The sequence below is a fragment of the Homo sapiens genome, chromosome 4 (assembly GCF_000001405.40).
Source record: "Homo sapiens chromosome 4, GRCh38.p14 Primary Assembly".
Lineage (NCBI taxonomy): Eukaryota > Metazoa > Chordata > Mammalia > Primates > Hominidae > Homo > Homo sapiens.
In genome coordinates this window covers 6,198,698-6,215,145 of record NC_000004.12, presented here as the reverse complement: position 1 = coordinate 6,215,145, position 16,448 = coordinate 6,198,698, and the positions used below count along the sequence as shown (strand labels likewise).

Genomic DNA, 16,448 nt, shown 5'->3' with positions numbered 1-16,448 from the left:
TGAAAATAAATCTATTGGCATATGTGCAAGACCTTTGCACAGAAAATTATACTTCCATATAGAAAGATGTTTAAGAAGACCTACATAAATAGGAGGATTCATAAATGAGGGAACTCAGTCTTATAAGATGTCATGCCTCTCCAAATTGTGTGATGGGTTCAATACAATTCCAATCAAAATCCCAACAGGGTTCTTTGCAAAAGTTGCCAAGCTAGTTCCAAATTTTATATAAAAGAGAAAAGAACTAAGAATAGCTTAATTGCTCTGAAGAAGATGAACAAGTTGGGGGAACTTACTGTGACAGATATCAAGACTTGCTATAAAGCTAAAGGAATTATGCCAGTGTGATATTAGCATGGAAATAGACGAATGGAATAAAATAAGCAGGCCATGCATTCATGGAAGCTTAATATATGTCACAGGTTGAATTGAAAAAGGATGGAGTTCTAAATAAGTAATGCCAGGACAACTGGTTAGGCAACTGGTTGTTGCCATGAGAGAAAAAATAAATAGACTCTCTAGGTCCCATTGTACATAAAACACAATTCCAGAAGCATTTATTCTCAAAACAAGCAGTAAAACTTAAAAACATTTAAAAGGGAATATGGGAGAATATTTTATTGCCTCAAGAAAAGGAAGCATTTCTTTAACAAAACACAAAAAGCTCACATCACAAAGGAAAATATTGACTATATTATTATCATTATTATTTTAGAGACAAAGTCTCACTCTGTTGCCAAGGCTAGAGTGCACTGGGGTGACCATAACTCATTGCAGCCTTGAACTCCTGGGCACAAGTGATCCTCCAGCCTCAGCCTCCCAGGTAGCTGGGACTACAGGCATGCACCACCACACCTGGCTACCTTTTTTATTTTATTTTTTATAGAAATGGGGTCTCATTATGTTTCCCAGGCTGGTCTCAAACCCCTGTCCTCAACTGATCTGCCTGCCTCAGCCTTCCAAAGTGCTGGGATTACAGGTGTGAGCCACTGTGACTGGCCCTACTATATTAAAGTGAACATTTCTATACACCCAAAGGAAACTATAATAATATGAAATGACAAGCCCTTAAAAGAATATATGTGCAAGGGGCCAGGCACAGTGGCTCACGCCTGTAATCTCAGAACTTTGGGAGGCTGCGGCGGGTAGATCACCTGAGGTCAGGAGTTCGAGACCAGCCTGGCCAACATGGTGAAACCCTGTCTCCACTAAAAATACAAAAATTATCTGGGCGTGGTGGTGGGCACCTGTAATCCCAGCTACGTGGGAGGCTGAGGCAGAAGAATCACTTGAACCCGGGAGGCGGAGGTTGCAGTGAGCCGAGATCATGTCATTGCACTCCAGCCTGGGCAACAAGAGCAAAACTGTCTCAAAAAAAAAAAAAAAAAAAAAAAAAAAGAACAAATGCAAAACATGTGCCTACCTTACAGTCACCAGGTTGGCAAAAATTTAACATTCAGCCAATACTATACGTTGGCAAATACGTGAAATAACTGGTTTCTTATAGATTGTTGGCTGATGCCTTTAATTGGGTGGATTGAACAACAAAAATTCACTTCTAACAGTTCTGGAGGGTGAAGTCCAAGATCGGAGCGTTAGCATGGTCAGGTTCTGGTGAGGGCCCTTGTTTTGGCTTGTAGATGGCCGCCTTCTGGCTGTATCCTCCACATGATAAAGAGAGGGATCATCTCTCTCCTGTCTCTTCTTATAAGGGCACTAATCCCATTTGTGAGGACTCCATCCGCATGACCTAATTATCTCCCAAAGACTCCATCTCCGGATACCATCAGATTAAGGATTAGAGATTCCACATATGAAGTTTAGGGGGACACAAAAACTCAGTCCTTAGTAGTTGGATAATAAATTGGCATAAACATTTTAGAAAATGTAGTATCTTGTAAAGTTGAAGATGTTCATGCCCATGACTTAGCAATTCCATCTCTATAACATATACTCCAGAATAATGTTTCTCAATCAGGGGTGACTTTGCCCTCTGGAAGGCAATGGCTGGAGACACTTTTTGTTGTCACATTTTGAGGGAAGGATGCAATTGGCATCTCTTAAGTAGAGGCCAGGGATACTGCTATGCATTGTACAATGCACAGGACAGCCCCCCTTTATAAATTATCCTGCCCAAAGGTCGATAGTTTTGCAGTTGAATATCTCTGCTCTAGAAATATCTTATGCATGTGCATCAGAAGATAAGAATGGAGGGGGTCCATAGTGGCACGGTGTAAAATGAATAAAACTGATGTCCATTCCCAGTTCAGCCGCAGATATCAAAATTGATTTTAAAACTTGATATTAATTAAAAAGTAAAATGTGGAAGAAGATGTATATACCATGTATATGAAACTGGGAAAAGATAAACACATGCTTGAAGATAATGGTTACCAAATGGGGAGAGATGTGTGGGATATGGCTAATACTCTATGTGTTAAGTTGAATGGTGGGTCCATCTATGCTTGTTTATTATTTTCTCTTCTTTGAATATAGTAAAGACTTGAAGTCATGTCCCAGATAGCACAGACATCACAATTCAACAATTAGTGATTGGATCCTGTTCTCTGACCCGCCCCTATTCTCAAAAGGGATAATCAGAACTTCTCACTATCTGGAGGGGCGGTGAATATAGACGTGACTATGATCATTCAAAGCTTTCTTGGGTCATTCCAGCACCACTTGCACATGGTATAATTCCACTGCCTTTTGTGTGTGTGTGTGTGTGTGTGTGTGTGTGTGTGTTTGTGTGTGTGTGTACACGTGCCTTTCCTTAGAGGCAGTATATGGATGCAAATGAAATCCTCTTATTGTGCTTTAGAGAACATATATGTGTTATATATATGATATTTGGCATTCTTACAACATTTCACACTAAAAACATTTTTAAAATAATAGAAAACTTCTTTACTTAAAGGTATTTTATAAGGTCATATTTGCCAGCCAAACCACTTTTAAATTTTTTTGTACTGCAAATAAGCACTGTATAATAACTGCCCGAAGGAACTAAGTTTTCTTGTACTCTCAAGAAAATCTTGGAAGCTGCATAATGAGTCTATGTGTCCTGGAGACTTTCTACCAAGAATAAAACTCAGAAGCTATTTTTAAAAAGCGAGACACATATTTAACTATGTAAAAAGTTTGTCGTTGTGTGGTAAAAGATGCCATGAAGTCAAAAGATGAATGCTGGATCTGGAAAAAGTGCTTGAACGTTGGCGACAGGCAAAGGGGTCATTGTTATGCTGAGAGCCGTAACAGCGCACAAGACAAAATGTCCCTACTAAAAGTGGGCAAGGGATAGAGAATAGACAAACCTCAAAAGTGCAAATCAAATCTAAAAGAGCAAATCATATATATATGTGTGTGTGTGTGTGTGTGTATATATATGCAATATATACATAATGTGTGTGTGTGTGTGTGTGTGTATATATATATATATATATATATATATATATATATATATATATATATAAATATATATAAAACCAGGTGCTCAAATCCACCAATGGACAGAGAAACGCAAATTAAAATAACAAGGACACATCACTTTGCACCCATCAGAGTGACAACATTTACACATGCTGCAGCGTGGGTTGAGGTTGGCAATGCAGGAAATACATTGAAGCAGAAGGGTGTGTGTTAGAGTCTTGGGAAGGTAATCTGCCTATTTTTTTTTTTTTTTTTGAGACGAAGTTTCGCTCTTGTTGCCCAGGCTGGAGTGTAATGGCGCGATCTTTGCTCACTGCAACCTCTGCCTCCCGGGTTCAAGCCATTCTCCTGCCTCAGTCTCCCAAGTAGCTGGGATTATAGGCACCCGCCACCACGCCTGGCTAATTTTTTTTTTTTTTTTTTTTGTATTTTTAGTAGAGACTGGGTTTCACCATATTGGCCAGGCTGGTCTCGAACTCCTGACCTCAGGTGATCCACCTGCCTTGACCTCCCAAAGTGCTGGGATTACAGGCATGAGCCACCACACCTGGCCCCTATTTTTATTTTATTTTTTTCAAAAAGGAGGATTTTGAATGGTCCCAACACAAAGAAATGATAAACATCTGAGATGATGGCTATGCTAATTGCCATGATCTGATCACTGCACATTATATGTATCACAAAATCACTATGTACCTCCTGAATATGGACAATTATTATTTGCTAATTTAAAAATGTAAATTAAAAAGGTTAGACCTTTTTGGCCAGGCACGGTGGCTCACACCTGTAATCCCAGCACTTTGGGAGGCCAAGGTGGGTGGGTCACTTGAGGTCAGGAGTTCAAGATCAGCCTGGCTAACATGGCGAAACCCTATCTCTACTAAAAATAGAAAAGTTAGCTGGGGGTGGTGGTGTGTGCTTGTAATCCCAGGTACTTAGGAGGCCGAGGCATGAGAATCGCCTGAACCTGCGAGGCGGAGGTTGCAGTGAGCTGAGATTGCACTCCAGCCTGGGTGACAGAGCAAGACTCTGTCTCAAACAAACAAAAAACAAACAAACAGACAGACAAAAGTTTAGACCTTCCAACCAGCCATTCCACTCCTGGGAATCCATCCCATAGAAATAAAAGTAGTCCTGCTATCTGAGGGTTTGTGTAAGAATATTTAGCGCCCATGGCTGTCGGTTGGTAATGACAAAGGGACATTAACCCATAGGAAAAGGCTCTGTGAACTGTGGGATGGCCTCAGCCTGTCAGTCTAGAGATTTCCCCAGATGCTGGCAGGAATTTGCACGAGGTGTTGATGAGTGTGAAAAGTGAGAAGCAGAAAATGTGATTATCATGAATTCGTTTTGTAAAACAATGACCCCCAACCCCCCATATGTATGTATGTATATATGAATGTAGTTATTTATTCTTATGGAGAAAAATATAAAAAATGTGAAATAAAACAAGCTAGGTTGTTAACATGAGCTATTTGGTGGGGGATATGATATGGGAGGGGGAGGAGGAAGTATCCATAATAAAAACATCATGCATAAAATAAGCGCATTCCTGGAAAATTACACACATGTATCTGCTCATGAGCAGAAGCACGAAGGGAGGGTCACCTGAGTGTTCGCGGGATTACCCTTGGCTAGCAAGATTCAAGGTGACCTTTGGTTTCTTCTTTATATCTGCCTGTACTGTTTGAATTCTTTACAATGACATGTATTATTCATGGAAACAGAAAGAGCCCACAGAAAGCTGTTTTCATTGAAAGGTAGAAAAGAAAGAAGAATGCCCAGGCCTAGGGACCCTGTCGCTGGCCAGACTCTCCCTGTGCTGGTCTGTGATGGAGAACTTGGAGACTCAGCCTGCCTCACAGCCCTCACGGCTGATCCACACTGTTTTTTTGTTTGTTTGTTTGTTTGTTTGTTTTGAGACAGAGTCTTGCTCTGTCACTCAGGCTGGAGTACAATGGCATGATCTCGGCTCACTGCAACCTCCACCTCCTGGGTTCAAGCAATTCTCCTGCCTCAGCTTCCCTAGTAGCTGGGACTATAGGCGTGTGGCACCATGCCCAGCTAATTTTTTTTTTTTTTTTTTTTTTTTAGTAGAGATGGGCTTTTGCCATGTTGGCCAGGCTGGTCTCAAACTCCTGACTTCAGGTGATCCACCCACCTCGGCCTCCCAAAATGTTGGGATTACAGGTGACAGTCACCTTGGCCAGACCCACCCTGTTCCTGGAGGAAAATCCCACAGGCCCCTGGTCCCATCTCCCTGCCCAAGGGAGGAGCCTTATGCCGTGCAAAAGCCTGGATCAGCTACCTTCATGTTCACCAAAAGATGGACAGTGCGCACCACTGTCTTAAAATTTTTGAGATAGTTATAGATTCACATGCAGTTGTAAGAAATAATTCAGAGAGATCCCATATCCATCCCCCTTTATTCAGACATCTCTGGTTTAACATGAACTTGTGTGTGCATGTTTAGTGCTATGTCTCTTATCACGTGTAGGTTTGTGTGCCCAGCACCGCAGTCAAGATACAGAACAGCTCTAAACAAAGAAGCCTCAGCTACAGCTTTTATAGCTTTTATAGAAGGCTCAGCTTTTATAGCCACAGCCATTTCTCTCTTCCCTTCCCCAAGTCCTGGCAACCATGGATCTGTTTTCTGTCTCTATAATTTTGCCATTTTGATAAAGTTATATAAATGGAATCATACTGTCTTTTTCACTCGGCATAATTCTCATCCCTGTCTTTTTGGAATTGAAAGTGAACTGATGGAGAATATGAACTTGGTGTGGTTTTCCGATACTTTTTGTGTGAGTGAACATGGCCAAGTTACCTATGCTCCCTCTATCTCCTCTGGAACATGGAACTAGCGCAGGGATGGAAGGAGGGAAGATTCTCTGCCATGAAGGCTGGCAGTGTTCACCAACTGAGCACATTGGATGTGCCAAACTCTGTTTTAGGTGCGCCATGAGTGTCATCTTCTGAAACAGCCTAAGTAGCCTATGAAGTAGGTTCTGTTCCTTTCAGTGCTCAGATGAGGGAGCGGGGGCTCCAGGTGATGCAGGGAGTGAGCGGTGGAAGCAGGATTCCAGTCCCAGACTTCCTGGCAGGCGTGGGGTGTGGCACCATCTCTATTTGACAGAGAGAAGTCTGAGGCTCAGAGAGGTGAAGGAACTCGTCCTAGGGACACAGCTAATTTATGCTGAGCCAACAACAAAGCCTGGTACTCCCTATTCCTCCCCTAGCCCTGGCTTTTCTGGGTCCCTCTGCCTCAGGGGCTTGCCTGGAGCTTTCCCGGAAGCACAGAAGTGGGTCCCTCCTGCATAGGAGATGAAAGGAGGGGAGTAGATATTGCGAGCTGGGCTGACTGGTGTGAATCCTGGCTCTACCACTTTCCGGCTGGGTAAACTTTGGCAAGTTATTGAACCTTCACATCCCTCAATTTCTTTTTTTCTTTCTTTTATTTGAGACAGTCTTGCTCTGTCCCCCAGGCTAGAGTGCAATGGCACGATCTCGGCTCACTGCAGCCTCTACCTCCAGGGTTCAAGCGATTCTCCCACCTCAGACTCCCGTGTAGCTGGGACTACAGGCACGCGCCATCACCCCCGGCTAATTTTTGTATTTTTAGTAGAGACAGGGTTTCACCATGTTGGCCAGGCTGGTCTTGGACTCCTGACCTCAGGTGATCCACTTGCCTTGGCCTCCCAGAATGCTGGGATTACTGGCATGAGCCACCATGCCCGACCTACATCCCTCAATTTCTAAGGGTAGGGTGGGGATTAAAATGAGTTAATATATATGGACCTCAGCCCAGTACCTGGCACACAGCATGTGCTCAGTCAACGTTATTGCTATTAACAATATGAGTTTTTATTTACCCCTGGAGCCAGGCTGTCTGGGCTCTAGCCCTGGCTCTACTGGTTGTGTGATCTTGAGCAAGCTCTCCAACTAGGGCTGTTGTGAGGACTAAGACTTGGAGGCCAGCCAGAGTGGCTCACATCTGTAATCCCAACACTTTGGGAGACTGAGGTGGGCAGATCATTTGAGCCCAGGAGTTTGAGACCAGCTAGGGCAGCATGGCGAAACCCTGTCTCTACAAAAAATTAGCCAGGTGTAGCGGCGCACACCTGTAGTCCCAGCTACTTGGGAGGCTGAGGTGGGAGAATCACCTGAGCCCGGGAAGTTGAGGCTGCAGTGAGCTGTGATCCTGCCACTGCACTCCAGCCAGGGTGACAGAGACCCTGTCTCAAACAAACAAATAACAACACAAACGAAAAACCCACAATGAACTTGGAAAGTATTTAAATCAGTGCCTGCTGCAGCTCAAGCTTGGCCATGTTTGCTCTCAGTATCATTGCCATCCTCCCTCTTGCCCTGGAAGCACAGCCCACTGCCCAGAAGGCAGGACTTACAAGGGGGATCAGTTTCAACCACCCAGTGGAGGGGAGAGTAACGCCACTTAAAGAGTCCTGGCCTGTCCTTCTGGGACTGTGGCTCAAACTGCCCTGGCTCTGGCCCTTGACCTCCCTCATCTGGATCAGTTCAAAAGCCTCTAGTGTCCACCTTCCCATCAGCCTCCATGCAAAGGCTGCACCAGCTTCAGTGTGCAGTGCCCTGTTCAAAATTCACACATCAGCAGATGTTCCAGTGTGGCCTTCAGGGCTGCCCATGATCTGACTTTGCCAGACTCTCCAACCTTGTCTGCCCTCTCGGGGACGCAGGTGGGAAATTCATGGCATGGTCCTCGTGCTTCCAGCCCTTTGCACATGCTGGTCCCTCTGCATGGCTTCTGCTCTCATTGTCTGACCTCAGCTCAAGGGTTTTCTCCTCTAGGAAGCCTCTCTGGACTCCCTAAGCAGTCCTTATTCTGCAATTTTTTTTTTTTTTTTTTTTGCCACGGTCTCACTCTGTTGCCCATATTGGAGTACAGTCGCATGATCCTAACTCACTGCAGCGTTGAACTCCTGGCCTGGCCTCAAGTGAATTTCCCACCTCAACCTCCTTCCAAATAGCTAAGAGTACAGGCACTTACCACCACATCTGGCTAATTAATTGTAATTTTTTTTTTTTTTTGTAGAGACAAGGTCTTGCTATGCTGCCCAGGCTGGCTTGAACTCCTGGTTTGAAGGGATCCTTCTGCCTCAGCCTCCCAAAGCACTAGGATTATAGACATGCGACACTGCACCTGGCCCCTTCCTCTGCACTTTTATAGCCCAGGGCTACCCCATCAGAATGATCCAGGTACTCTTCTGTCTCTCCCACTGGCCCATGAGCCCTTGGGGGCACAAACAGCTGTTTCCCTGCTGTGTTCCTGGTGCCTAGGCAGAGTGCCAGCACAGTAGATGTGCACCGGTCTTGGTGGGATCTTCCACGGGGCTGGTGAGGTCAGGCTGCTCTTCCACACGTGCTCACAGGCCTCCTTTAATCCTGCCACTCTCGCCCTGCCCCAAGAGCCCCCAGTGGCTCCCTTTCAAGTGGAAGGTCAAATCCTAACTCTGGGCCTTCATGCTGCTGTTCACTGGCCCTGGGACATTGTTTCTGTTCCTCTTCTTCTAGCTAGCTAATACTCAAGCTAACCACCTCAAGGAAGACTCTGCCCCTCAGACCAAGCCAATCTCCATGTTACATGGTCTCCTACCAACTTCTCTTCCTCCTTTAGAATTATCACAGCTGTAGATAAATAACCATATAATTCATAATAACTAAAGGTATGTCCACATCCTGGAAACTGTGATATGGGAACTCATTTGGAAAAAGAGTCTTTGCAGGTATGATTAAGTTAGGGAGCTTGAGAAGAGATCCTCCTGGGTTATCTGGGTGAGTCCTCCATCCAATGACATCCTTATAAAAGACACTCACACAAAGAGGAGGAAGCCGTGTAATACAGAGGCAGAGACTGGAGTGATGCGGCCGCAAGCCAAGGAAGTCCTGGAGCCACCGGGAGCTGGAAGAGGCCAAGAAGGATCCTCTCCTAGAGCCTCTAGGGGAAGCACAGCCCTGCCAACACCCTGACTGTGGACTCTGGCCAGGCATAACTGTGAGAAAATAAATGTCTGTTGTTTCAGGCCTCCCAGTCTGTGATACTGTATTAGGGCAGCCCAGGAAACAAACCCAGAGTCACATATATTCACTCACTGAATCCCCACCCAAACCTATGCAGTTATTATGATTAAAAGATTAATCTTACAGATAAGGAAACTAAAGGTTCACTTACTTGCCTAAGGTCACCATGGGTACCTGACACAGCTGGAATTTAATCCCAGCAGCCCAGCCCTGCAGTGGTGGTGGTGACCACACTCTACTCTGCAAGAGCAGCAGGAACTGAAGTTTCTTTCCACCATCTTTGCAAGTGACCAGCCCATCACAGGTGTTGGGTGCTCACAGCTTCCCAGAGAGGAGCCCCTCTGATGAGAATGTTTGTCTTTATAGGGAGCTGAAACCTGCCTCTCTACCACTTCCAGGGCTCAGGGCACTTCCTCCCTACCACTTGTGGGCTCAGGGCACACGGGGCGGGGAAAGCAGCTTTGGCTTCGGAAGACTCGTGGCTTCCATGCTGCTTGCTGTGAGTGAGCCCCTGGGCCCCAACCTCTCGTCCCTAATAGGGAGATCTTGGTGGTACCTGACCCCCTGCCCCATAGGTCGTCCTGAGGGTTATGTAGTGACCACGTGGTGGCAGCGGGGGTGAATTCCTTGTGAAGCTAAGTACAGACCCTTCCAAGGCCTGGGAGAGCCAGAGCTCTGGGTTCATGTGGCCTTGTGTTTGGAAATACTTTCCAAAAGCAAGATATTTTAGCTGTAACTGGCTAAGCTGGCTGCCAGGGTTTCCAAGACAGGGTTCCACAGACTGAAGAGCTTTAACAACAGAAACTTATTTTTCACAGTTCAGGAGGCTTCAAGTCTGAGACCAAGGTGTTGGTTTCCTCCAAGTCCCCTCTCCTTGGCTTGCAGATGGCCATCTTCTCACTGTGTCTCCACAGGGGCTTCCTTCTGTGTCTTAATCTCTTCTTATAAGGACACCAGGCATATTGCATTAGGTCCCACCCTAAAGACCTCATTTAAGCTCAGTGACCTCTTTAAAGGTCCTATCACCAAATACAGTCACATTCTGAGCTCCTGGGGGTTAGGGCTTCAGCACTCAAGTTCTGGAGGACACAATCCAACCCATAATACCCTCTGTCTCTTTCCCTATGCCGCCCTCATCATGCTTCCTCCCACTTCGGAGCTGCTGCGGAGGCCAAGGGCATTTTGGGGATGTAGCTGAAGGGGGATTGAGTTGGGGATGCCTTGGTTTGGGTTTAGTGGGGTGTGTTTATGTAGGTCTGAGCCAGTCTGTGTGGGTCGAGTTGTTGCTCCCTGAACAGGCTAATGGCTCCCAGGAGTGCCCTCCTTGCCATGGCACTGGCAATGTGTGCTATGGTGCCTGGCACCAGGAGTCTATGGGCAGAGGAAGAGACATAAGGGTTGAAAATGTCATTCTTCCAATAGGAGAGGTCTGGATTTGCAGACCCTCAGAGTCACAAGGCAACTGGGGGTGTCGCATAGCCCAGGACTGCTCAGCAGGAGTCACCTGGGGCATTTAGTAAAATGCTGATTCCTAGACCCTGCTACTCTGAGGCTTCAATTCAGTGGGATGTGGAGGAGCCTGGGCATCTGCATTTCTCCTATGCCTCTCCAGGTGATGGGCGCCAGCACTGAGGTTTAGGAGGTGTTAGTCGAGTCATGTTCTGGTTTGCAATTGTTCAGTTGCTTTTCATCATGAAAATTAATAAAATCCCAGTAAGAAGCCTGGAAGAAATAGAATTCTTCCAAGTGTTAGCATTCATTTATGAAAGAATGATAGACCTTTCTCCAAATTTGAAAACAATCTCAAAAAACTACCTGAGATTACCAATAATGAGTTATGAGGCTGACAAAGTTTTCCAACCAACATTAAAATTTGTTCCCATCATTATAGGAGTACTCTGAATTATCTATTTTCTCCACAGGAAAAATATTATAAAATCATTGGCTTCCAAAGAGGTAATCAAAAATGACGAAGAAGCAAAAAATGTAAAAAAAAGAAGATATTATAAAGGTGGATATCAGGTATCCAATTAATACAATTTTATATTAGTTTTATAATGTTTTCGCAACGTTTTTGATATTTGTCAACTTAAAATATTTTAAAATTTGTTGTGATTTGTTATTATTCTAAATAAGTTTTCATTTTTGTACCAAGTCTTGTACTGGGGTTTTTAAATTCTTCTTCCTAAGGGGGACTGTAGCGGCTCCAGGTTTTACAAAACCTGGATCTACTAACCAATAGTTGCCTGTTCAAAAGTCATTCTTCTTCTTTTCCTCACTAATGGAACCCTGACTTTGTTTCAGGCAGCAATGTACCTTCAATTAAAAAAAAACATCCTTGGCCGGGCGTGGTGGCTCACACCTGTAATTCCAGCATTTTGGGAGGCCAAGGTGGGTGGATCACCTGAGGTCTGCAGTTTGAGACCAGCTTGGCCAACATGGCAAAACTCCATCTCTACTAAAAATACAAAAATTAGCTGGGTGTGGTGGTGTGGGCCTGTAATCCCAGCTACTTGAGAGGCTGAGGCAGGAGAATCACTTGAACCCGGGAGGCGGAGGTTGCAATGAGCCAAGATCACGCCATTGCACTCCAAACTGGACAACAGAGCAAGACACCATCTTAAAAAATAATAACAATACTCCCAGCCTCCTCTGAAGCCAGGGCTGGCCATGAGACACCGTCCCAGCCAATGAGATAAAACAGAGCTCTCTGGGGAGAGTTTTCAGGAAAGCGGTGAAGTGGAGCTGACCTAGTGTGGGTATGCCTTTTGTTCTTCCCCTTCTTGACTGGAATAGTGATGAGATGTCTGGGAAGAGGCAGCCAACTTGCCACGTAGAAGACATTTTGAAAAAGAAAATTACATCCTGAGGGTGAAGGAGTGAGAGAGGATAAAGTGAGGAACAGCTTGCCTTTGCATTTCTTGTTAAGAGAGAATAAAAATCTGTTTAAGCCGCTGTCTAGTTGTGATCCCGATTACTCACAGCCAGACATAACCCTTAATCTACACACATGTATCGAAGTACCACCAGCTGGGCTTTTTAAACAACAGAAATGCACTGTCTCACTTCTGTAAGCTAGAAGTCTGAAATCAGGTGTCAGCTGGTCCACGCTCCCTATGAAGCCCTGGGGAAGGATCTGTCCCAGGCCGCTCTCATGGCTTCCGGGGGTTTGCTCCCATCTTTGGCATTTCCTTGGCTAGCTGATGCCTCGACCTGATCTCTACCTTCATGTTCACACGGCATGCTCCCGTTGCTTGTGTCTCTGTATCCAATTTCCCCCTTTTATAAGGATAGAAGGCAGACTGGATTAGGAATCCAACCTACTCCATTGTGACCTCATCTTAGCTAATTACATCTACAACGACCCTATTTCCAAGTAAGGTCATATTCTGAGGTCCTGGGAGTGAGCACTTCAACATACGAGTTTTTTTTTTTGAGGGGGTGGGTGGGGGGAACACAATTCATCCCAGGATACCTGGGCATTGTCCCTGATTGTCCCTCCCTCCCTCCTGTCCACGTCCAAGCCGTGAGCATGTCCTGCCAATTCTGCACCCAGATTGCTCTGATGCGCTGATACTTCACTGTATCAGCGTGGAGGAGGCCCCCACACTGCCTCCTTGTCCCCACTCTTGACTACTTCAGCCCATGCCCCAAGGGCAGCCAGGGCATCTGCTAAAGATAGTCTCACATCTGCTCACAGATATCCTAGTTCCTCCTGACCCCCTGAACCTTAGAGGTCTGCACTTCCTCCTCTTCTGAAGTTAGGCATGGCCATGTGACCTGCTCTGGCCAATGAAACGTGAGCAGAAGTGACGAGAGTCCCTTCGGGGAGGAAGCCTTCAAAGCCAGCATAATTGTCACCTTTCATTCACATTGCTGCACCATGTGGGTGCTCGGCTGGCAGACAGCCCCAGCAGCTTGGGCTCCCAACCACTCTGATGAACAGAGCCCCATTGACCGAGGCAGGATGTATGATGTGGGCAAGACACACCAGGGAGATTTGGGTTTGGTTGTTACTGTGGCTAACATAGCTTATCCTGACTGATGCACTTTAAAAAATATCAATCTGACAATGGTCCATGGGACCACCTTCCAGGTGAGACAGTCTCCAAACTCTCGCCAGCCTGCAAGACCTTGCAAGTGCTGCCCCTCTGTGCCCCCGCCCCCCATCTTCCACACACTCCCTCTCACCATTCTGTGGCCCAGATACTTTTATCAGATTCTCAAATATGTCCCGTTCACAGCAGTCAGGGTGTTCCCCCATGCTGCTCCCTTTGGTGGGTGCTCTTCCCTGCCTTCTCCTTGCTAGAAAGTAAGCTCTGGTGGGCAGCCGCTTCCTCTCTGCTGTTCACTGTGGTGTCCCCACATCTTAGTGACTACCTGGCACACAGCAAGTGCTCAATAAATATTTGTCTAATGACACTGAATGAATGTTTGCCCAGCTGAGTCCTGCCCCTCCCAAGTCTCAGCTCGACAGCACATCTTTCATTTGGCTATGACCTGCTGATGTGGCTTTGCTGGGGGCAGCCTGGGCTGGTGGGGGGAGGCTCCCTAGGCTGGCATCCGCCCAGCTCTGCCGCTTGCTGGCTCTGCCGCCGTTAGCGTGCGCTTTAACCTCTGACCTTCAGACCTCTCATGCGTACAGAGGGGGACATGGATCTCCGGGGTCGCTGCGTCTTCCTGACCACTGACGGCCAGGACGGCCCCAGCCCCGCTTTACCTGCAAGCCCCACTCCAGGCTCGAGCCCCCGAGGGCAGGGATAGCTTCCCGGGTCCCGAGGCTTGACCAGAGCCTGAAAGCTCCTGCCGGGGGTTGCTCCGACTCAGCGAGGCGCCAGGCTGCCCGGCGCGGCTGGGGGCGCTCAGCGCCGGGACCCCAGCCCTGCCCCGGCCGCCCGCTGGCCCAGTGCGCACGCTCCGGCAGCTCAGCTCCCCCTCCCACGGCGGCAGGAGAGCTCCCGGCATCTGCCCGGGGCGGGGGCGGGGGCGGGGCGGGGCGGGCGCCGCGCCCTCCTGCCTGACTGGCAGGAAGACAGACCAATCGGAGGGGCTCCCCGGGGGGAGGGGCGGTGCCGTGCCTGAGCCGGGCGCGGGCGACCGAGGGAGCTGCAGCCACCCGCGTGCGGCACGCGCCGGCCGCCTGCCCGGATCGCGGCCACCAGTGCCGCGGCCTCTCGACTCCCGCCCCGCCGAGCCGCGCGCGCGACTGCCATCCTCCTCAATTGCTTTTTACGATTTTTTTTGTGCATGCATTCATTTTCTGTTCCGTTTTGTCCTTTTTAAGGCGGTGGCGGCGGCGACAGCGGCGTAAGCTCGCAGCGGGGAGGGGGCGGCCGGAGGATGCGGCGCGGGGCTGCGCTCGCTACGTCCGCTGCTGCTGCCCGGCTCGGGCCTGAGCGCCGAGCAGGTGGGTACAGGTGCGCCGGGGGGCGGGAGGCGAGCGCTGGCCAGAGGGAACCCGTGGACCCGGCGACCGAGGGGCGGACCTGGCGGCAAGGGACGCGGCGACCGGTGCCGCCCCGCCCCATCGTCCATCTCCCCCTCCTCCGGCCATCGCGCCCCCTCTGGGTCCCCCTTCCACTCTCGCATCCCACCTCAGTGGTCCCCCACCCTTCCATACCCATCCCCCACTCCTCTTCAGACCCCCTTGCAAAATCTCCCAGCCGCTGCGTCGCTTCCCCCAACACCCCCTCCCGGTCCCGCCCCCAGCCCCCAGCTCTCCTTCACGCCACCCCTATTTCCACTCTTCTCCGGATTCCGCCCTCAAGCCAAGGAGCGGGAGGGGGACCCACCCGGTGCCTGCCGGAGTGGCGCGGGGGGTGTGGCCGGCCCGTCCCCTCCGTGTCTTCCGCAGGGTAGGTCACAGTCCCCCAGATCTCCGCCCAGGTGGCAAAGAAGATGGAGCTGGGGGCCGCGCCCCGGCGGCGCGGGGCCCGAAGGCGAGGCCGCCCAGCCCGCACCCCACCCCACGCACGGCACACGCCGCCGCGGCCCCTGCCACGCACACCCTCGCGCTGCTCCGCCCACGTGGGCGCCGGGGAGGAGGCTCGAGAGATGGGAAGAAAGGCTGGCACCCACCCTCCTGCCGGGCCGGCGCGCCCTGGGCGCACTGGCCTCCGGAGATGGCGCGCAAGGATTGACTCTCGTGGTGCCAGACACCTTGCCGGGCGCCCTGCGTCGGGGCCAGCGGCCTCGCTGGCCTGCGTCAGTGCGCTGCGGCCTCGCCTCCCAGCCCCTCGGTCCTTCGCTCCATCCCCCCTGCTGTGGGCTCCTGAGCATCCGGCCTGGGCAGCCCAGATAGAGGCCGCTTACGAGGCTGGCGCTTCTTTTCGCCTTAGAAGCATCCCGCTCCCACACACCCCAGCTCGCCGGTCTCCTGAAGGCTGGGCCAGCCTCGGCTCTCCGCCAGCCTCTGCCCGGCTCTCTGAGCTCCAGCGATACTGTATCTAACCGCCAGCCCTCCTCCGCCGCCCGCCCCATCTGCGCACACTCGCAGGCACACTGTCCTTGGCCTTTGCCAGTGCTGTGCTCTCTCCGCGAACGCCCTAACTTCAGCTGGCCAGCTCCTTGTAGTCAGGGAGATCCCCTTGCCCCTCCTGAGCTTTCCTGGAACGTGGCGCTGTCCCAGGATGCTGTTACCATCTGATGGCCTCTGCCTTCCAGAGCAGAGGAGGAGGTGGGGAGGAGGGCAGGGGCAGCCTCAGCCCCTCTCCCAGGGCTCCACCCACAGTGAATGTTGGGCATAGCAGGGCCATCCCCCCTAAGTCAGAGTAACCCGCTGGTGTGGAGGGCGAGGCCATGGGAGGAGCTGGCCCTTCCTGTAGCACCCTGGGCTGGTGGGTGGTGGCTCCACTAGCTGGGATGGGCAAGGAGGAGGGACACATTCGGGGATAGAGTGGGGGAATTAGAATCCTTTCCTAGCAGGGCATTTCCACCCTCCTGGAGACCTGCAGCTCTGCAGA

General features: G+C 49.4%; 1 protein-coding gene and 1 long non-coding RNA gene across 3 annotated transcripts in view, besides 6 other annotated features; one reads left to right on the top strand and one right to left on the bottom strand.

Annotated features, from left to right (window-relative positions):
* Positions 1–14,413, bottom strand: part of JAKMIP1-DT (JAKMIP1 divergent transcript) — a 33,204-nt gene extending 18,791 nt beyond the window's left edge. Inside the window, exon 1 of the long non-coding RNA NR_037863.1 lies at positions 14,207–14,413. This is a non-coding gene — a long non-coding RNA (JAKMIP1 divergent transcript). The remainder of the gene's footprint in view (positions 1–14,206) is intronic.
* Positions 9,210–9,279: an enhancer, noted in NCBI's record as "active region_21258". NCBI's record gives its function as "activates an Ori minimal core promoter by ATAC-STARR-seq in GM12878 lymphoblastoid cells {active_cell/tissue: GM12878}" and the evidence as "EXISTENCE:reporter gene assay evidence [ECO:0000049][PMID:35858748]".
* Positions 13,030–13,079: an enhancer, noted in NCBI's record as "active region_21257". NCBI's record gives its function as "activates an Ori minimal core promoter by ATAC-STARR-seq in GM12878 lymphoblastoid cells {active_cell/tissue: GM12878}" and the evidence as "EXISTENCE:reporter gene assay evidence [ECO:0000049][PMID:35858748]".
* Positions 14,182–14,941: a silencer, noted in NCBI's record as "silent region_15227". NCBI's record gives its function as "represses an Ori minimal core promoter by ATAC-STARR-seq in GM12878 lymphoblastoid cells {active_cell/tissue: GM12878}" and the evidence as "EXISTENCE:reporter gene assay evidence [ECO:0000049][PMID:35858748]".
* The window catches only part of JAKMIP1 (janus kinase and microtubule interacting protein 1), a 174,351-nt gene continuing 172,499 nt past the window's right edge, over positions 14,597–16,448 (top strand). For both annotated transcript variants that reach the window (NM_001099433.2, NM_144720.4), the window contains exon 1: positions 14,597–14,893. The gene's annotated coding sequence lies outside the window, so the exon portion shown is untranslated. The remainder of the gene's footprint in view (positions 14,894–16,448) is intronic.
* Positions 15,212–15,561: a silencer, noted in NCBI's record as "silent region_15226". NCBI's record gives its function as "represses an Ori minimal core promoter by ATAC-STARR-seq in GM12878 lymphoblastoid cells {active_cell/tissue: GM12878}" and the evidence as "EXISTENCE:reporter gene assay evidence [ECO:0000049][PMID:35858748]".
* Positions 16,032–16,121: an enhancer, noted in NCBI's record as "active region_21256". NCBI's record gives its function as "activates an Ori minimal core promoter by ATAC-STARR-seq in GM12878 lymphoblastoid cells {active_cell/tissue: GM12878}" and the evidence as "EXISTENCE:reporter gene assay evidence [ECO:0000049][PMID:35858748]".
* Positions 16,332–16,441: an enhancer, noted in NCBI's record as "active region_21255". NCBI's record gives its function as "activates an Ori minimal core promoter by ATAC-STARR-seq in GM12878 lymphoblastoid cells {active_cell/tissue: GM12878}" and the evidence as "EXISTENCE:reporter gene assay evidence [ECO:0000049][PMID:35858748]".